This window comes from Homo sapiens, chromosome 11, assembly GCF_000001405.40.
Source record: "Homo sapiens chromosome 11, GRCh38.p14 Primary Assembly".
Classification (NCBI taxonomy): domain Eukaryota; kingdom Metazoa; phylum Chordata; class Mammalia; order Primates; family Hominidae; genus Homo; species Homo sapiens.
The window spans coordinates 70,066,765-70,086,955 of NC_000011.10; the positions used below are offsets into that span (position 1 = coordinate 70,066,765).

The 20,191-nt window shown below is 54.1% G+C and overlaps 1 protein-coding gene, 2 long non-coding RNA genes and 1 pseudogene across 22 annotated transcripts in view, besides 2 other annotated features; 3 read left to right on the forward strand and 1 right to left on the reverse strand.

Annotated features, from left to right (window-relative positions):
• Nucleotides 1-20,191, forward strand: part of ANO1 (anoctamin 1) — a 223,534-nt gene that overhangs the window by 100,768 nt on the left and 102,575 nt on the right. For 7 of the 20 annotated variants that reach the window (XM_047427185.1, NM_001378092.1, XM_047427181.1 and 4 more), the window contains one exon: nt 11,778-11,950. In XM_047427185.1, coding sequence (XP_047283141.1) covers nt 11,778-11,950 — 173 coding nt within the window. Of the gene's footprint in view, nt 1-11,253; nt 11,362-11,552; nt 11,951-18,653; nt 18,907-20,191 lie in introns of those variants that run through there. The other 13 variants (NM_001378095.2, NM_018043.7, NM_001378094.2 and 10 more) reach the window with 6 other exon arrangements.
• LOC105369371 (uncharacterized) lies at nt 3,895-4,413 on the forward strand. Its single transcript, XR_007062760.1, has 2 exons — nt 3,895-3,934; nt 4,056-4,413. It is a non-coding gene; the product is annotated as an uncharacterized LOC105369371 (long non-coding RNA).
• Nucleotides 5,396-5,573: a silencer, noted in NCBI's record as "fragment chr11:69918266-69918443 (GRCh37/hg19 assembly coordinates)". NCBI's record gives its function as "represses an EF-1alpha promoter that drives an FKBP-Casp9 reporter gene in an ReSE screen in HepG2 liver carcinoma cells {active_cell/tissue: HepG2}" and the evidence as "EXISTENCE:reporter gene assay evidence [ECO:0000049][PMID:32094911]".
• LINC02584 (long intergenic non-protein coding RNA 2584) lies at nt 5,670-8,584 on the reverse strand. Its single transcript, NR_103835.1, has 3 exons — nt 8,558-8,584; nt 8,172-8,442; nt 5,670-6,175 (listed from the first exon to the last, which is right to left on the reverse strand). It is a non-coding gene; the product is annotated as a long intergenic non-protein coding RNA 2584 (long non-coding RNA).
• Nucleotides 6,118-6,731: an enhancer, noted in NCBI's record as "OCT4-NANOG-H3K27ac-H3K4me1 hESC enhancer chr11:69918988-69919601 (GRCh37/hg19 assembly coordinates)". NCBI's record gives its function as "activates a minimal SCP1, AML or CMV promoter by ChIP-STARR-seq in primed H9 embryonic stem cells {active_cell/tissue: H9 hESC(primed)}" and the evidence as "EXISTENCE:reporter gene assay evidence [ECO:0000049][PMID:30033119]".
• On the forward strand, nt 8,599-8,705 carry RNU6-1175P (RNA, U6 small nuclear 1175, pseudogene; annotated as a pseudogene).

Sequence of the window (20,191 nt, forward strand, 5' to 3'; positions counted from 1 at the left end):
GGAGCAAAGCACCCCGGAGGCTGTCCTGGCACAACCTGACCACAGTCATAGACCAGTCAGCCCCAGGAGGGACACTCTGCCCCGGCCTGGTTGCTGCCAGCCAGGCCCATGGATGCTGCTAGTCCAGCCAAGGAAGTGCCTGTCCCCACTCCCAGGCCCATGCAAAGGGGCCCAAAACAAACTTGAAAAAGCAGCCCCCCAGCGGGGAGGCCAGTCTGTCCGGGGTGTCCAGGGATCATGACCGGCACTGCTGTTTTCCTAACTCATGTGACCAAAAATCCTTTTATTTGTATAAAAATGGAGCCTGGTTGTCTAAGTCTTCCCAAAGTTTCCTTATATCAAGCAGTCATGAAGGGCCCCCCACAGAGCAAGGTCTGTACTGGCCACCATGAGAAACTGCTGTTCCCACCTTCCAGCCATGTCCAAACCCCTCTACCCCGTGGGGCTTAACCACCTCTGAGCATCCCACCTGCCGTGTCATTTGCTTCTGTTTTGTCGATGGTCTGCCTGCCCCTCCCTCGCTGGACAGCAGCTCCAAGGGGACAAGGAATCGTGGGTGTTTTTTTTTTTTTTTTTTTTTTGAGACGGAGTCTCCCTCTGGTGCCCAGGCTGGAGTGCAGTGGCGCAATCTCCGCTCACTGCAACCTCCACCCCCTAGGTTTAAGCAATTGTCCTGCCTCAGTCTCCCGAATAGCTTGGATTACAGGCGCCTGCCATCATGCCTGGCTAATTTTTGTATTTTTAGTAGAGATGGGGTTTCACCATGTTGGCCAGGCTGGTCTTGAACTCCCGACCTCAAGTGATCCGTCTGCCTCAGCCTCCCAAAGAGTTGGGATTACAGGCATGAGCCGCCGCACCCGGCCTGTGCGTGTTTTGCTGGCTGCTTCTTCCCCAGTGCCCGGCAACCTTGAGAAGATGCTCACAGGCACCCGGTGGATGCACAGGCAGCCCCAAGGCCCTTCCCAGCCTTCCCGTCCCTCCAGACCTCCCGACCCCCTGCCCCGGCTTGGGCAGTCGACCCCTCCTTTTCATCTTCCTAGTTACCAGTGACCGTTTAGGATTCAGCTGAGAAGCCACTCCCTGTGCAAAGTCTTCCGGAATTGACCATGACCTTTCCTCCCCTGGTCCTTCAGCATTTTTCTGTGGCTGTCAGATTTCTGACTTCCTGGCAGACTATCAGCCTCACACCTGCGGGTCTGTGCCCTGGGCTCACAGCTTAACACGTAGAAGGACCTTAATAAATAGGCTGATTGCCCCTGTGGAGGGGACACGCTCCTGCCAGAAAAACCCAGCCCACCTCCTCCCTGGACAGGAGCCCTCGTATTGGAGAAGGCGGGGCTCTCAATGGGGCTTTTGTGGTGGGTGGCAGTGGCCTCAGCAGCTTTCCCCAGCAGCTCCACCAGCTGGAAAATGTTAAGACAACAACTCCATCCTTGCCCCTAGGGAGAACCTGTTTGTTTAGATTCCACAGCCTCCTGTTAAGAGGCAAGTGTCCGTGCAGGGGTTGGTTGAATCGGGTAAAAATTGACCTGTGGGTAAACTCTTCATTGTCCTCCACTAGGCGGGTGCTAGAATCTGTGGACACCGACAAAGGACATTAGCTCATTTGTTCATCCTTTCAAAGGATACTTTGCATACCTACTGTGTGCCAGGCTCCGCTGGGTCCTGAGAATACAGAGAAAACAAAAAACAAAGGTCCCTGCTTTCCTGGTGCAGGGAGAATAATAAGTTGTCAGATAACAGATGCGGGGAAGCAGTGGAAGGGGCTGGGAGTGGGGCCAGGGCAGACCCTGGAAAGGTGGTTTCTTAGCAGAAGGCTTGGAGACGTGAGCCAGGAGGGAAGGAGGGTCACAGCTCCCAGGAAACATGAAGTCCAGCCCAAGAGAATACAATTAACTCCTGGGAGGAGGAGGCCATTAGCCTATGTCTGCTCCATGGTAAGGGGCTCTCTCGCTGGCACGCCCCCTACTCTTTCCCTAGCCCACTCCTCCAACTGTTCTGAAGTGGTGGGAAGGCGGGTAGGGGCAGTCCCAGTGGTCATCTAAGGGAAAACTGTCCCCCTCTGTTTGGTCCCCAAGCTAAACAAGGCTGTGACAGGCAGCAGTAGGGAAGGAAGGCTGTTACCATGCTCTCTGCAAGCTGATGGTCCCCAATGTCACCAGCCGCTGCAGACTCATCCAGCTCCAAGGACCAGGGGGGCCCAGGCCCATGTATTTTCTTAGGTGCATCTACAAAGGCTGGGCTTCATGCCTCAGGACCTCCTTGATGAAAGAATATCCCCCTCCACAGGGTCCCCCTGCCTTGTGAAACAAGCCATATGAATCCACTCACAGAGGGCCCGGGGCCATCTCTGAGCATGGGCTGGGGGTTCTTTGCTTTTACCCTGGTTTCCTTTGGGAAAGAATTGGAAGCCCCACCATCCTCCCTGACCAAGGAAAGGGTCCGCTTTCTCTTCTGAGATGTGGCTTGAAGGAACCAGGGAGTGTGTTCTGCAGAGAGATCCAGAAGGAACCTGTGGCTTTGAAAGAGTCCCTCTAAGGTTGGAGGAAAGACTTCTCCATCAAACTGGAAGGAAACAGGAACAGAGGAGTGGACGGCCAAGCACGTCTCAAGGTGCTTGAGCTGAGAGTCAAATAGTGGAGTGAAAATTGACGAATAAACTCCTTCCGATGGGTTTAAGGGAAAACAGCCCCACTCTGTTTGGTCCCCAAGCTAAACAGATTTGAGATCTGTTTAACACAGAGGATCTGGGCTGTGATGAGCTTAAAGGGGGAGGAGGACACTTGATTTTTCAGAAAGCCTGATTTCAGACGTAATCGTTCATGTTTAAGAAGCAGGGATGCTGACTTGATTTTCCAGAAAGCCTGATTTCAGATGTAATCATTCCTGCTTAAGAGGCAGGGACACTGAGTCTTGGGAACAGCTTTTGGAAAACGATAATCTACGTTAGAGGCGGGGCAGGCAGCCCTGTGGCCCCTGGGCTCTATATGACTATGTGTCTTGGAGGATCTGGGCTGTGATGAGCTTAAAAATCTTAAATATCTGTATTCAGGAAGAGCTTCTGGATGGACACTAGAACCACTGATTATGCATGCCATTGGGGAGGAGATCCCATGTCGGGTCCATTTTTAACCCTTTGGGGATGAGTTGTCGTATGTGTATGCATGCAAGGATGTGCATGCATGTACTTACTAACCCTATATGACACGGATCTTTGGATTTTGTCTACATAAGCGAAGGGATTGAAATGACTTAATTAATTTGCTGTTGGCCATTAATGCATTTTGCAAAGACAGGCAGCCACTGTCTGTCACAGAGGCCACTCTGTCTCATGCTCTCTCTTCCTTATGTTTTAAGAGTCAATGCCTTGGGGCTCAACTTTGTTGGATAGCTGGTTCAATTCTGTGCATTTTTCTAGGTCTCTGTGGCTCACGTCATTTTCAGCATGAAAATGAGCGATCAAATTATGACAAAATCACCTGGAGCCGCCATTCTAGCCAAGGAGGGTGAGGGGAGGCAGAGGGAAAACAAGATGATGAAGCGAACTCCTCTGCAGATAAGGGGTGGCGGATTCTATGGAGAAATACAAAGTCAGGAAGGGATTTGAGGAGGTAGAGGTATAAGAGAATGAGTGAATGAGGCTGGGCACAGTGGCTCACACTAATCCCAGCACTTTGGGAGGCCAAGGTGGGCGGGTCACCTGAGGTCAGGAGTTCAAGACCAGCCTGACCAACATGGTGAAACCCGGTCTCTACTAATAATATAAAAGTTAGTCATGACGGGTGCCTGTAATCCCAGCTACTTGGAAGGCTGAGACAGGAGAATTTCTTGAATCCAGAAGGCAGAGGTTGCAGTGAGCCAAGATCATGCCAATGCGCTCCAGCCTGGGCGACAGAGTGAAACTCCAAGTGAATAAATGAATTGTGAGTGCATGGTGAGTGGGTAAGTAAGTGGGGAATGGGGTGAGCCAATGGGCGAGTGAGCAGGTGGATGAGTGGACAAACACTTGAGCGAATGAATGAGTATGTAGCTGAATGAACCCCTCACTCTACCAGAAAAGCCAGGGGAAGGGGCCTGAGCATCTCCTTCAGGGGTACCTGCCAAGGCGGAGTCCTGGAACCCCTGCCCAGAACTGCTCGTGGAGGGCATCTGCGTTAGTCCCCTGCTCCCCAGCGCTGCCAGCCCCTGCCTCAGATCTCTTACCCAACCGCATCGCTTCCACTTGGCAAGGTAGATGGCCCATGTACTGGGAGTACTACATGGTAGGATCCCTGGGAGGGTGCCCCTGGGTGTCCTCCTGGATCTCTTTCTGGTGTGAAATAGGGCGCTCTCTTGGCTTCTTCAGTTGAACACCTGTGTGACCAGCTCTGTCATCAGATATGTTTTGTAATTAAAGGCTACTCTGTCCTAATATTTCGGGAATGTGCTGTGATTGGCCTTTAGGCAAAGGTGGGTTTCTCTACATGTGTGCTGTACAGAGAAAAAGCTGTTCAACTATTTTTCCTTAAATAGTAAAAGGGTCCAATATGAGCCCACAGGTTACAAAGTGTGTCAGTGCCTTAAATAATATCACCCTTTCCCTACCTATCAACCTATTTCATGTCACTGCAGAAATCTTACAAAACAGAGGAAATGACAAAGCAGAAAATAAAAGCCATCCAATATAATTTTCCTTAAATAATAGGAAAAGGCTCTGTAGCTAAGCAGTCCAGCCTGGTCGCTCCTTCCCACATGTGACTTTGAGCCCTAGAAACGTGGCTTTTCTGAAATAAGATATGCCGTAAAGTAAAATTCACATACCAGATTTCAAATATGTAGTTGGAAAAAAGAGAATGGCCAAGGTCTGATTAATAACTTTTTTTTTTTTAATTTTTTTTGAGACAGGGTCTCGCTCTGTCACCCAGGCTGAAGTGCATTGGTGCAATCATAGCTCGCTGCAGCCTCAAACTTCTGGGCTTAAGCAATCCTCCCACCTGAATTTCCCAAGTAGCTGGGATTATAGGCACGCACCACCATGCCTGGCTAATTTTTTTTTTCTTTTTTAGAAATGGGATCTGACTGTGTTGTCCAGGCTGGTCTCTGACTCCTAGCCTCAAGTGATCCTCCACTTCAGCCTCCCAAAGTGCTGGGATTACAAGTGTGAGCCACCATGCCTGGCCAGGAACTTTTATACTGAGGACATGTTGAGATGATATTCTTTATATAACAGGTCACATAACATAGATTATTGATTTCCCCTGATTATTTTTACTCTTGTTAGCGTGGATAGTAGAATATCTCAATGACACACACTCCGCAGGGCCCAGTAACGCACACCTTTATTGTACAGAAACGTTGCATCAGGAGGACGAGGTCTTCGGCGCCAAACCCAGAGGGCCTTGAAGGTTCTGATTCCCCAGCGCAGGGTTGGGACAATTCCTCCACTGCTGGTGATGCTCCTGGCTCATGTTCCCATTCATTTCTCCCACAGACGTGAGGCCCGGAGTGTACAGCCAATGGTTGTCACACACAGTATCCCCCCAAGAGAAACCTGCAGCCCAGCAGCTCGGCTGCAGTACAGAGACCCCCAACCTGGCAGAGGCCTTGACACAAAACAGTTTTGCACCAAATGATGCATACGTGAAGGCACAATGAAGTGAACAGCAAGCGTTCAAGGAAAAGGCCTTGCATGGCATAACAAAATTCTGGAACATCTTTTATTCCAACCACAGGGTTTTGCAGGAAAGCGTCAGGATTTCCTATAAAGATAACTGAGCCTCACAGTCGGCCCAGGAGGTGTGGCTTCCTTGACTTTGGGGAGGGGAGGGTGTGATGAGGCCCCAGAGGATTCGCCCCAGAGTCAGAGGCTTGCTGCAGCCAGTGCCTGTAACGTTAGGATCCATCTCAGGCATTAGACTTCGGTCTTTAGGGAAATCAGGGGCTTGGGCCGGTCACCAACACCAGGGGAGGGATGCAACTTTGGTGCACTCACGCCCGGCGTACACCCCGTGGAAGGTACAGGGATGAGTCTGTGGCTGAGAGCGGCTCTCATGGGGTTCTTGTACTCTCAACAGTGCAGGGGTGCCAACCTATGTCCCAGCTCCACGGTCTTGGGACCTCAAGTCACCTTCAGCCCCTCAGGCCAGAGGACAGGAGGACCAGGACCTGTCCTTCTCTATCAGAAGCTGTATCATGTCTAGGGAGAAAATACATAATCAGGACAGGGGCTCAGAGGAAGCCATAAGGGTCACCCTTGTCTCCCTGGAGTGGCACAAGCTCAGACTGAAGCCGCCCGCCTCTGCGAGATGGAAGTTCCTTATTCTCAGGAAGTATGCTGGTGAAAGGAAATTGCCAGGCAATCTGGAACTTTTACTCTTTCAAGCCCCAGGAAGAAGAATTGAACCAGTGGCAGGCAGCTAGGTGCTCTGTTTGGCAGAGTGGGCAGGTGCTGTCCCGCTGCGGGGAGTCCGACCCTGTCCCCCTCGGCAGGGTTTCCGATACCAATGCACCCACCATCCTGGGGAGGAAGGCTGAACCTCCTGCAGAGTCACTGGGGAGGAAGCAGCTGTTTAAGATTTCGTCTAAACTTCTTCCCACACCTCATGAGAAAGGACCCAGGAGGGTGCGTCCGTCCGTGTGAATGCACTTGCAGATGGCTGTAATCACCCTAACCGCGCGACTTAACATTTGTAAAGAGCTTAGCACGGTGCTGGCTCATAGTAAGCGCTGCGCAGCTGCTTGTTAAATAAATAAACATAAATGGGGAACATCTATAGTGTGCCAAGGATGGGAAGGAGAGTAAAGAGTGCAGAAATGAAGCCCAAAAAACTGAGGATGGTGGGCAGAAGGGAACGTGAGTGGCTGGAGTCGAGGATGGAAGGAGCAGAGGTGAGGGATGCCGTCTGAGCTGGACCAGAAAGGCTACCAGGAGGAGGTGGCCTAGCCAGGCTCTCAGCTACCCCAGGTGAGCTTTAAAGCTCTTGGGATTCTCAGAAGGCAGGCCTTGTGTTCACAAAACACATTAAGAATCTGAAAACCCTCCTATGGAAACTGGATGTCCATGGATTCTGTTGGAGGAAAAAAAAATCCGCACCCTCCCCCCGCCCCCCACCCCCAAGACAGAACTTCATGCTTTGGCTGCGTTTCTGAGCTTCGGCCGGCAGTTTCCGAGCCCATGGAGTCCCGCCGTCAAGCTGCGGTTGGCCGGCCTCTGCTCGGGCACTGACATCATGCAAGGGAAGGAAATGACAGTGGTCCCGTCTCCCGCCCACCATATCTCAGTTGTAAATTCTCCAGGCACGTCTTCCCCGGGGTAATTATAGCCCAAGTTGCTTTTAGGAGGTGATATCATTTACCTGTTTGGCCTCTGTTTCTGTCCTACGCGGGTTGCCGGGCAGCACGGGGCTGGTGTGGGAGTGGGACGGGTGGCCATTGGCGCTCACAATGGCCTTGAGTCATGACTGCTCACTCCTTCCATGCTCCTTTCCCTCCCCTGGGCTGCTCATGAGTCAACAGCACTTATTAAACCCCTCTGAATGCAGAGATTTGTACTGGGCCAACCGAGGGGCAGGGCAAGCTCAGTGCACCCGGGCTGTGTGGGTGCCACGACCTCTACCAATGGAGGGCAACCCTGGGCACCTGTGTATTTCTATTTTGTAAAAAGAAACCCAATCTCCTTTCTGCCACCTCTCTAATTCTAGATTGTGTGTTGAATTCATGGAGTGAGCTCTGGTTTGAGGGGTGGGGGTCAGGAGAGCTAGACTGAAAGCCTAGTTTGCTCTCCTGCCTGACCTTAAGCCAAGTACATCACCTCTCCAGGTGTGTGCACCTGTGAAATGGGGACTGATAAAGCTGGCCCCCCCAGGTCCAGTTGACATGCAGGTGAGGGCTGCTGAGAAATCTGAGAGCAGTGGTGCTCAACTGGGGCTGGTTTTGTCCCCTGGAGGATATTTGACAACATCAAGAAACATTTTTAGTTGTCACACTGGGGCTGGAGGCAGAGGGTGCTGCTGGCATCTCATGGGTGGGTAGAGGTCACCAGGGTGCCTGCAAAATGTCCCACACTGCACAAGCCAGCTCCCACCACAGAGGATGATCCAGCCCCACACATCCACTGTGCTGAGACATCCACTGTGCCCCACGCTAGAGCTCCTTTATTAGAAGAGACCTTTGCCTCCCTGGCCTGGACTCACCACCGCCAGGCGCTGGGCCTCTTGGTCCTCGCCTACCATCCAAAGGGAGACACTTCAGCCTCACTTTACAAAAGAGGAAATCTAGGCACACCAAGGCCATGCGGTTGGTTAATGGGGAGCGAGGTTCTTGTTCCGGTCCATGGTCTTGGTAACCAGTCCCTGTGTCTCCATAATTTGGGGCACCTCGTTCTTCCTCCCTTTGTAAAGTTTGGTTTGTTCAACTTCCCACTGAGTTGCAGACAGCTTGGCCCGTGCTCTGAGGTATTCTTCCCTGTGGGCAATGCCAACGGGATGGAAATAAAATATCGTTGAAAAGGGCTCCCCTGTGCTGCCTCCTACCAGGAAGCCACCCTCCTGACAGCTTGTTGGTCTGCGCTCCTTGTCACCTGATGCTTGCATCCCCGGTGACTATTAAAATGTCCGCAAAGTGCTCGCTTCGGCAGCACGTATACTAAAATTGGAATGATACAGAGAAGATTAGTATGGCCCCTGCGCAAAGATGACACGCAAATTCATGAAGCATTCCATATTTAAAAAAAAAAAAAAATCAGCAAAGACACCTGTACCTGTATCTGTTGGCACATGCCATCAAATGACACTGAAGAGCAACACTGTGGCCAAACAGGCCAGCTGGGAGGCCCGGAGCTTCCCATAATGAAATGCACCATCTAGACGAATTAGACAAGGGTTTTACTAATTCATGAGCAGGGAATTAATCCTGCCCACAAAATCTGTCCCTGTGGGGTTTTAGTGATAAAAATCACTGAGACAAAAAGAAAACTGGGTGCAACAGTTTATGGAGAGCCCCCACGTATAAGCAGTTAGTGACTGGAGTGGAGAGAGAATCCCAGCAAAGTGACCCATAGGACACAGGCGGGGACAGGGAACCAGAGAAGAGAACCATCTATGGAACAAAAAGGACCCTGTAAACTTGTCCTGGCTTGGGAGATATCTCCAGCTACAGGAATTCTTTTCCCGCTCCTATTTTGGGGGGCTATTGTTTTTACTTTGTGTCGGTCCCTGAAATCCCTAGACCCACGAACCCCCGGCGAAGGCCACGAGAGGCCTGGAGGCAGAACTGGTCCTCTCTGGCCCTTGCTGCACAGAGGCCACGCTGCATTTCCTCTGCCCTTGCTGTGGCATGTCCACACTGTCCACCTGGGAAGACTTGGGGAAGGGGCGAGAGGAAACAGAATGTGGGGATACTGGAGAGAAAAAAAGAAACATAGTGGCAATAGCAAAGAAAGTGGAGTCTTACAGGCAAGCAGATGCCCTGAGCCTGGCTACAGTATAAATCACAGAAACTAGAGGTTAAGCACTGTTTCTTGAGTAAAGCCGCAAGGGGTGCTGTTGGGGAGAAGGTGGGGCCACCTTGCCTAGGAGATGGCCCCCCAGCAGGCAGCCCCCAAGCCCCAGAGCCCTCTCAGGCCAGAAATGTCACTTCCCAAACCTTTGGGAGCACCAGTGTGTCCAGATTTGGCCAAGTATATTTTTACTCTTTTTTTTTTTTCATGCAAACTGCACCTCATAGAGCTCTGGAAGGTCTGTTGGCACTCGAACACAAATTTGAAAAGACAGTACATTAGTATTACACAATGTTGGTTGTTTACCAACAAAGATAAGTGGATGGAGTTACATAATCCTCTGTACATGCGTGTGGGATTCTCCCAGCCCTGGACACTTGAACTTTTAAGGAGCAGAGGCTGTGGAGCACTGTTCCTGGCATGGATTTGGCCAGCCTGGGGCACTTCTCCAAACCCTCTCTCGCTGTCCAAGGTGCAGACAAAGGGTCCTTTAGGGCCACTCAGTGCCCGTTGGCACCACCAGCCTGAGAACCAAATAGCCTTCCTGCACCGCCCCAAGTTCAAGGAAGTCACAGACTTGTGCCTAAATGGGAGAGTCTCACTGAGGCACCAGGAAAGGGTAGGTCATGACAAGATGACATTAGTAGTGACAACAGTCACCATTGCTAAGCCTGGCAGCTTCAGGCACGCTTAAAACTCCCATGAGAAGGCAGAGGCTCTGAGGCCCAGGAGGCTCTGAGGCCAAGGAGGCTGGCACAAGGTCACAAGGCTGGAAGGTGCCAGAGCTGGAGCTAGACCCCACCCCTTCTCTCCAACCCTATCCTAGCTGACTCCAGGTTCCATGCTTGGAACCATGGCACGCTGACGACATCGTGGCCTTTAAAGACAATTTTCTAATCACTTCTGTAGGCCTTGAATGTTCCCCAGTGGCCATTTAACAAGCAATTATTGAGCATCGGCTGTGTGAACCTGGTAGACAACCCACTGTAAAATGAGACGGAATAAATGAAGTGCTAGTTGGGGTTCAGGCAGGTTCTTTGGATAGACAGGAAGGCCTGCATATTTGGGTGGGAAGGGGACAGTAGGGGAGAATCCAGCAGGACTTCCTGCAGGAGGTGCTATCTGATGCACACCGTGAAGAACTCATAGGATGTGAGAGGCAGAGGGACACTTTATTTCCACTGGATGTGGTGGCCAGCATGGCCCCTGGGGCTTAACCTGAGTATGGTCGTCCCCTGGGGACCTGCCTTATTCTCCTTAGGGGAAGAAGACTTGAAGATCTGCAGTGTGCCAGACCCCTGCTAGGTCCGGGGGTAAGAGAGATCAAAGCCACCATCCCCCCCGCTCCGCCCCTCCAGAAAGCAGGACAGCCTTGCCCAGCAGTGGGGAAAGCTCTGCAGGAGCCCCGCCCCACCTCAGAGGATGCGGACTGGTCCTTGGCCCTCCTAAGCCTGAGTGTCCTCTGCAAAATGAGGACCCGCATTCCAACCTTGCAGGTGCGGGGTTAAATGAGATGATACACACTCACGCCCTACATCAGGGACGCTGCACGCACCTGGGCACAGAACACTAAGCACTCCGTAAACTCGGGGGCACCGGTAACATCAGTGGGCTCCAGGGAGATGACTGCCCCGGGAGAGACTCCCCCAGGAGCGCGGGCAGCTGGAGGGGGCGGGTCGGCAGGAACCAGGCAAGCTCCCCGGAGGAGGTGAGTGCTGAGTGACAGCAGGAGTTTGCCAGGGTGGAGGGAAAGGGGCAGAGATCCAGACTCCAATCTCAGAAGCTTCACTCCCCCCGGAGGCGGAGGTGACGCGCCACAGAAGCGCCTGCCACTCGGGGACTTTATTTCAGGTGGGGCTATTGAAAGTTCCCCCCTTTCACACCCGGTATGAAAACCCTCAAAAATCCAAAGGGGCACTTTCCCTGGATAAAAATAAAACTTGGAGGGGCCCGCAGGAATGGAATACTTTTTCTTCCTGTGTTTAAATTTCTACGGAAAATCTGACCGGCGCGGCCACCGCCCCTGCCATAGGCGGGCGGAGAGCGCTTATATCTTTAAGGCAAAGGCGGGCCGGCTGGCGTCCAAGTTCCTGACCAGGCGCGGGCCGGCCCGCGGGACCAGCAGCCGGGTGGCGGCGCGATCGGCCCCGAGAGGCTCAGGCGCCCCCCGCATCGAGCGCGCGGGCCGGGCGGGCCAGGGCGGCGGGCGGAGCGGGAGGCGGCCACGTCCCCGGCGGGCCTGGGCGCGGGGAGGCCCGGCCCCCTGCGAGCGCGCCGCGAACGCTGCGGTCTCCGCCCGCAGAGGCCGCCGGGGCCGTGGATGGGGAGGGCGCGCCGCCCGGCGGTCCCAGCGCACAGGCGGCCACGATGAGGGTCAACGAGAAGTACTCGACGCTCCCGGCCGAGGACCGCAGCGTCCACATCATCAACATCTGCGCCATCGAGGACATCGGCTACCTGCCGTCCGAGGGCACGGTGAGTGCGGGCGGCCGCGACCCGGGCGGGAGGGCCGCGCACCTGCGCCTTGGCGAGGGCGGGAACCGGGCGGCGGCAGGGCCTCCTGGGACCCCAGGGCGGGGGCCGCACCCTCCGCGCAGGGTTCGCGGCGCCCACCCGCGCACGTGCGTGCCGGGAAGGGCGCGCCGGCCCTGGCCAAGTGCGTGCGCCCCGCCTGCGCTCTGAGCGTTCCGAGCGCGGCGCCCACTCCGCCCAGCGCAGCGCCGGGCCCCCAGGCATGGCCCGGCCTCGGAGCTCTGCGGCCCCGAAGCCGCCTCACCCGGGGCTGCAGCTCGGAGCCCAACCAAGAGCTCACGGCTGGCGCCCTGGATGGGACCTTCCCTTCCTGGCTCGCGGCCAGGGGTACCTGTTGGGGCAGCCAGGGTGAGGGTGATGGTGGGGGTCTTGGGTGAAGGCCAAGTTGGTCGCCACTCCACGATGATGGTAACTGCCAGGCCCCACTGCTTCACTATCCTCTGGGGCCAGAGTCCCGAGTCCTCACTTGCCAGAAACGCATATTGTGCCCAGGGCACTGGGCCTGGTACCCTGGCATTGGCACCGAAACTCTCAAAGCCCAGGGTGTCAATCATTGGAGATTGCTTTCTACCCTCGCCCCTGTCTCCCCTGGGCGCCCAGGCCTGGTTCAGGTGGGGGCACTGGTTGGAAGCCAGTCATGTAAGTTGGGGACCCCATCCTGAGGTCCCCAATATCCCCACCACCCTCCCCAGGGCCAGACCCAGAGGTCTAGGTAACCCTATGTTTTAGAGAGGGGGGCAGAATTCTCCCAGGAAGGGTTTGGCTTGAAGGACAAAGTTTGCCGGAAGAGGATAGGACAGGGCTGGGACTGGCTATCTCCTCTTGGGGTGAGGGAAGCTCTCAGCAGCAATTTGTGGGACCTAAGGACAGAAGCTCCCTTCTACCTTCTTCCCATGCAGACCCCATCAAAGCCCCTCCCCAGGCGTCAGGCCCAGCAGGGCTGCTTCAAGCAGGATGAGGATGGCCCTGGCCTGTCCCTCTAGTCTCTGGAGCTCACAGAGAGGCAGGGAATGAAGCGGGAGCAAAGCTCCTGCTTTGAGTCTCTGTTCCAGCGACAGCAGGGACTCTGGCCTTGGTCAGGCCTTGCACCCCTTGGGTCACAGTGGAGGGGGGTGGCCTGGGGGCATCTCTTCAGGAAATGAGATTGCACAGAGCTGCCAGGAGCACTGGGAACAGGTGTAGATGGAGAGGGAGTCTACCTGTGACTCACAGGACTGGCCGGAGGAGCTCAGGGATTGCCATTTGATCAAAGCCATGTGCCAGGCCATGCTGGCCCCTGGGCACCCTCAAAGAATGAGACAGGGAAGGCTCCGCCCATCTGGAGCTTACTTAAGAAATGGTGATGGAACGTTACCCGTTATCCACGGCAGTGACAGGGACTATTCCATAGTGCTGGGCCAGTGCTGTGTCTTAGCTCATTGAACTCTCACAACGTGTGAGGTAGGTGCTATTGCTACAGGCAAGGAGACTGAGGCCCAGAGGGGCAGGTGACCAGCTCCAAGTCACCCATCAGCTGGGAGGACAGTTAGGAAGGGCCCAGGACACAGACCAGGTAGCTGCAGAAAGCCTGCCTGAAGAATAAACATTCTGGAGAAGGAGCTAATTCTACCCATAATGGGTAGGGACTGAGTCTTTCAAAAACATTGCATACTCAAAGTCCCAAAGGTGGGACCATGGAGGTACCAGCCAGGAGCCAGGGGATGGTAGTGGTGGCCAAGGTGATGGAGAAATGGATGCTCTGGGGGTAGACTAGACAAGACCTGATGGTGAACTGAATGTTCAATAAGAAATGGAGCCTGTCATGAATAGCCCCCGGTCTCTAGAGTTTTTGTTCCAGGACCCATTGCTTATCCAGACCCAGAAACTATCTGCCTCCTGCAAACCCAGGTGAAGGCCATAAAGTCTGCAAAGAGGCAGCTGGGCCCAGATGAGACCATCAGCTCCTGGGTTCCACACAACACTTCCGTTACACATACTTTGTTTTGTGAGCTTGGAAGGCTGAATCAGAGGCGCGCGCTGTGGGAGGCAGACCCTGGGAGCAGCATCTGCCGGTAGATGGCCAGACAGGCTGGAGGCTGCAGCCATGGAGCAGGGGCCTGTTGGTGCAGGGCAGGCAGCATGGCAGGGAGAGCCTCCCAGGGCATCCCCGGCACCACTCAAGCCAACAGTTGTTGCTCAGTCATTACCCTGAGTCACCCAACGAAGGCGGCTCTGTACACACGAGGGCCAGAGGGCGTGGGCTGCATTTCAAAAGTTCCTATCCTGTTCTCAGGTGTGAAACTCATACATGCACAAGTCAACCACAAGATAAGTTCATCCAATTCAGGCTGCGGTTCCCAGCCTGTGACTTTTGCCTCTCTTCATTCCCAAGTTCAAGGGTGGAAATGACTTCATTGTTTCTGTGCAGAGATATAAGAAGAAATGACTTGAAAGCCAGAGGCCAGGTTGAATGCAATTTGTTTCCATTTCCCTCTGTTAATCTTTGAGTGTTTCTACTTTCTTCCTTGAAACTGGTGGTTGTCCATGGTCTGGGATCTGTGTGCCCCAAACAAGCCCAGACACTCCAGAGATACCTGATTTGCTGGTATCTGCCCAGTATTTCCTGGCTTATCTGCTGTGGGAGATGATCTGCTTGTAGATTATGGAACGTGCCCCATAATCGTACATTGATATGTAGTGACCTGGTTTTAAAATTTTTTTAGAAGACAAAGGAAGTTTAAAACTGATGTTCCCTTCTTAACTATAATTTGAAGAGTCTCAAAACCAAAAGAAATTTTACAGGCCACTGATTTCATTTAGCCCATTTTCAGAGAAAGTGAACATTGTAGATTCCCTTGAGTGATCAAGATATTTCATATGGATATGAATTCAGTTCCTGGAGTACCAACTCCAGAGACCAGCGGAAGAAACCAGAGCCCAGAGTCCCAGGACAGTATTAAAGGTTAAAGGACATAGGATTGCTTTCCCCCTTCTGCCCTTTTGTTGGAGTTTGAGGAAGGGGTTCATAGAGGCAGGTGTGGACCAGATATAGGCTGCCATTCATGGCGCCTGGGACAGGTCTTCCAGGACACTCCTGCTGTGAAGGGAACCTTTGTCCTTCACATTTTCCCATGTGGCCTCAGGGAAGTATTTCTCTTCCACCATATTCCTATCTTCCTTAGGGAGGCACCTTCCAGGAGTACCTCCCTCAGTTATGCAGAAGGAAGTCTTCAAAATACCTTCAGATCATCGATCACATTTTATCCCCACAAGAATCCTGTGACCTAAGTCCAGATGTCTTTGTCGGCATCTCACAGATGAGAAAACTGAGGCTCCCAGTTGGGGGTTGTGGTGTTTAAGTTGCTGGCCTGCCTGGGTCTCAGCTTCTGTATCCTTGGATCTGATGGCCACAGCCAGCCACAGTATACAAGACCCAGCCTCTGTTGTTCATTCACACATGCCTGCATTCATTCATTCATTCAGCAACCACATATTCAGTGCTAACCATCAAAAAGATGAATAAGAGGGCTGGGTGCCATGGCTCACACCTCTAAATCCAGCACCTTGGGAGGCCGAGGCTGGTGGATCACCTAAGGTCAAGAGTTCAAGACCAGCCTGGCCAACATAGTGAAACCCAAGTCTCTACTAAAATTATGAACATTAACCAGGCATGGTGGTATGCACCTGTAATCCCAGCTACTTGGGAGGCAGAGGCACAAGAATTGCTTGAACCCAAAAGGTGGAGGTTGCAGTGAGCCAAGATCGCACCACTGCGCTCCAGCCTAGGCGACAGAGCAAGAATTCGTCTCAAAAGAAAAGATGAATAAGAAACTCCTTACCCTCAGCAAAGGTGCACCGAGGGGTTGCTTGCCCCTTTCTTAAGAATACAGAAACAGAAATGTTCTGAAGCTTTCCCAGGCCTTCGAATTTGGAAGTTATGCACAAAGTCTCACCCACATCCCTCCCACTGCAATTACATCTTTGCCTTTTTGTCCCGTTCTACACAAGAAAGGCACCCACTCCACTGCTCCGTGGAAGGGCACCATAAAGTCACACGCACTGGTCCTTGCTATGCATTCACCTCCCGACTCTCTCCAAGCCCAGCTCAGGATTGCTCTCCAGACCCTAGGAGCCTCCCAGCCTTTTAGAGTGTAGACGGGAGAGAGCCCACACCTTAAAAACTAATACCTAAACAGACAAAGCAGCTTATCCAGGGTCACACAGCAAATCAGTGACAGAGTCAGGCGCTGGGACTCCCACACCTGTGCTTGGTGCTGCCTCCTGCTGGTCCCAGCATCACATCCAGCTCCTTTTGTAACTTTTTAAAGTCTGGATTTGGCACTGCTACCATCTTTCACTTGTGGTCCACTCTGGCCACAAGATTTTTTTTCCCCTGTCCTCCCCTAGTTCTTTATGTGCGTGTGTCTCAGTTCCCAATTAGAGCAAACTTCTGTTGAAGGTTCACTCTATGCTAGGCCCTGTTGGAAACTCTTTACAAGATATATTAACAGGTTTCATCCTTCCAGCAACCCCATGAGGGAGGTCATATAACATGAGGTAGGTCTTAGGGATATGGAGAGACAAAAACACGAAGCTGTGTGCCTGGGGTCACACAGCTGGTGAGTGGCAGAGCTGGTGTTTGAACACAGGTAGGAGGATGCCCACTCTTGATCAGGCCCCAGTGCTGTCTCTCCCTCCACCATGCATGGGAAGTTAGATGATGTTTCTGCTCTCCCAAAGACTGTAGGCCCCTGAGGGTAGGTGTGTCCCTTGATAGGCCCCCAGTGGACAGATGATGGGGGTTCGTATTGAACCTGGTAGCCTTCCCTGTTTCAACTTGATAGAGGATTTTTGGCCACTCCTTAGTGTAATTTCCCTGCTTTCTGGCTTGGAGGGATCCCTGTGGAATTTCCTCCCTGTCTCTAAGGATTTGTTTGCTATTATCATTATCCCTGCCAACCAGGAGTGTTTATGGAGCCCCAACCAGGTTCTCAGTCCCTGTGTACTGAGGTCAGGTTGGAGCTCTGTCCTAACACATCTCTAGACAGTCCCTGGCCAGGCCTCCGGGGTCCTGCCATCCAGCTTTGGGGCTAATTTGCAAGTTAAGAACTTGTGGGTAGATGGCTCAGAGGCAGTCCCAGCACAGAGAGACCTGCAGAGGCCAGAGGGGCTGGCCACCTTCAGATCCCAGAGGATGCTGGATTTGCCCTGTGCCCTGAAAACCAGGTTGAATTACAAAGGGCTGAGAAGGACAGAAAGGGCGTACAGGGAGGGACACAGTGTCTGCAAAGGCAAGGAGGAGGGACTGGGGAAGGCCTGGGGGAGGGGGAGAGGAGACTGGGGAAGGCAGTATGGGGAGGAGATGAGGAGGAATAGCCGAAGCCCTCAGGCGCACCTGGGACTCAGGCAGGTGTGCCCTCCGACCCCTCGAGACCCTGCATTCACCTGCTGGGCACTGGCACATTCCCTGCACATGGGCTTCTGTCTTCCAAGAGCAGCTTCCGGTCGGGCTCTTTTGCCCCCTCAGCCATGGGGAGAGAAAAGCACCTTTAGTCACCAGCTCCCTGTAACCCTGCCCTTGTTTGACCTCCCTGAGATGTTGAGGGGAAAGCGTATCTGCCATTGGGTGGCCATCAGGGTGACGGGGATGGCTCCCAGGTGCCTGGCCCCAGAATTAGATGGAGCGTCCATCCTGGCACGTTCTGGTCAGTGTGTGCTGAGCTTAGCAGAGACCATCATCCCCTCAGTGAAGCCTCCCGCTGCTCCGCATTTAGCAGAAACCAACCCTGGGGCTCAGAGTGTCCAGAGCCTCCCCCAGGCCTTGCAGCTGGAGAGGGGCCAAGCCTAGATGTAGACCCAGGTCTGGCTGACTACACGGCCTGCCATGAAGCCAGTGCCCTGTCCTGGGCTGGCCTCACCTGCTGCCCCACACTGTCCAGACATACCTGTGGCCTGGTGTTGCCCAAACCTCCCGACTAGCCTGTGCTTATCTGCTGTCTCTACTGGCCCTGCTTAACCACTGCCCCAGGCTGGGACAGAACTGAGGCCTGCTAAATTGCTGCACTCTCCCCATGCCCCTCAGCACCAGAGACAGAGCCCTGCACTGGGGTCAGCCAGCAGGAGTCTGGTACTCAGGGCCACTGAGCTGGGCAGCTCACCCGTGGGAGCCTCAGTTTCCTCCAGGTCAAATGGACCTAACTATAGTAACCCCCTCATAGGGTCAGCTTGTGGGGACTCAGCGAGATGACATACCTGGGCCGAGAAACAGCGTCACCCTTAGTCGCGGCTCCTACTAAGGGGGGCCGCACCTTGGGCGTGCAGATGGGACTTGAGGCTGAGCTCAGCCTCCCGCCTGCGCTGTAACCCGGGCTCTCCTGCCCTGCTGGGCCTCAGTTTCCTCCTTGGCGAATTGAGAAGAATAGCTCTTTCGTGCTTCTCCTGCAGAAGGAATGCAGGCCCCCCGTGCTGGCTACAGACTTGCGATACTGGGGTCTTCCGTGAACCCCGTCCTTCATGGGGCTGGGCATGGGAACCCACTGCCCTCAAAAGCCAGCCCTCCCCCACCCTTCCCCCTGAGCCCTCCCAAGCCACCCACCCACATGGGCGTGGTCGTGGCCCCTAAGCACCCTCAGACTTTGTCACAGAGGGCAAGGTGGGCGGGGCACGCACACTGAGTCCAGGTCCTCCTGAAGGTCACCAGCACAGCGGGGCCCTGTGTTACTGTAGAGAGAAGTCAGTTGCTTAGTTTCAGCCTCCTGCCGGCACCAGATGCTGACCAGGCCCTCCCAGGTGGTGAGCAATGCTGTTTCCAGGAGAGGCATCCTAGGGCCAGAGAGGCCAAGGTGCCAGGGACATGGCCCCAACTGTCCCCTAACCAGGGGTAGAGGAGTCTAGACCCTTGACATCAACACCTATGAAAGGTGGGGCAGCCCCCAACCAGCAGCCCTGGCCCAGAGCCTCCTCTCTCCTTCCCCTACAACTAAAAAGGACAGCCTCCACTCGAGGCCTTCCCTCCCCCTCTCCCCCACTGCAGTGCTGACTGTTTGGGGAGGGGCTCCACCCTCCGGCTTCCCTGATACACTTTGGGTTGTATACAGCCCACCTGCCTCGAATGAGGGATTCTGCCTGCCCCTTTTCCCGACCAGTGCACAGCCATTTAGAGCCATGGTGCAGCCGGAAGCTGCCCAGGGGCTCCAGGCGACCACGTGGGGGGACCCTCCAGGCCAGCGAGGCCCAAGCACAGCTCTGTCCAAAGGCCACAGGTGCTCGGGCCCTGCCTGGCGCAGCATGCCGTCCCTGCACTCCATCAGGGAGGCCCTCTTCTCGGATGATGCCCCTCGGGAACTGATAGTGCCCTAGGGAGCGTCCTCACGTAGCCACAGGAAACTGAGGTGGAAACCAGGCGGCCAGCTCGAGGGATGAGGCACAGCTCTGTGGACCATTAGCAGCTTGGAGTTGCCTGTTAGGTTCTACCCAGCATGGCTTTTTTTATTTTTTCTTATTTCGGAAACCCAGATTGCTGATCGACCTGTCTGTCTTGATAACCGGCCAAACCCCTCGGGAATTCCAGCAATGCAGGCTTGGCTTTAGCAATGGTCCCATCACACTGCCACTGTGGGAATATCTGGTTTTTAAACAAACTGCTCCATACTGCTATCTCCCGTGGCCCCCTAGAGTCCTTCAAACAAATAAGGAAACTGAGGCAGGGCAGGCCCTGTTGGAGCCCTAACCCCGCCCCCTTGGTCACCCCAGGGCACCCACCAGCGGTGCCCATCCATACCAGTGGCTCACTGTCCTCTGCACCCAAAGGTGACTGACCGTGCAGGTGCTGCCGCAGGCCACGTGTGGGGAAGGTGCAAGCGCAGGGTCATTAACACCCCAGGAGTGACCCCCAGCCAAGAAAGGGCCAGAGCGGGTGCATGATCACCCAACTTCCTCACCCTCTGGGTACTGGCAGTGGGATGTGCCCTTCAAGGTCACTCCGAGGGTCCCCAGCAGGACGGACCCCAGCTGCACATAGCGGTGGCCGCTCCTTAACCCACCCCTGTCAGCCTCCCTCCCCTTCACCCTACTCTGGCACCTGAGATCACCTCCCAAGTAAAACGCTTGCACCCCTGGCCTCTGCTCAGGCTCTGTTTGGGGGAGAGCCCTGACTAAGACAGTGAAAGCCTCACCTCTGGACACACAGCTAGTTAGTGGCCCTGT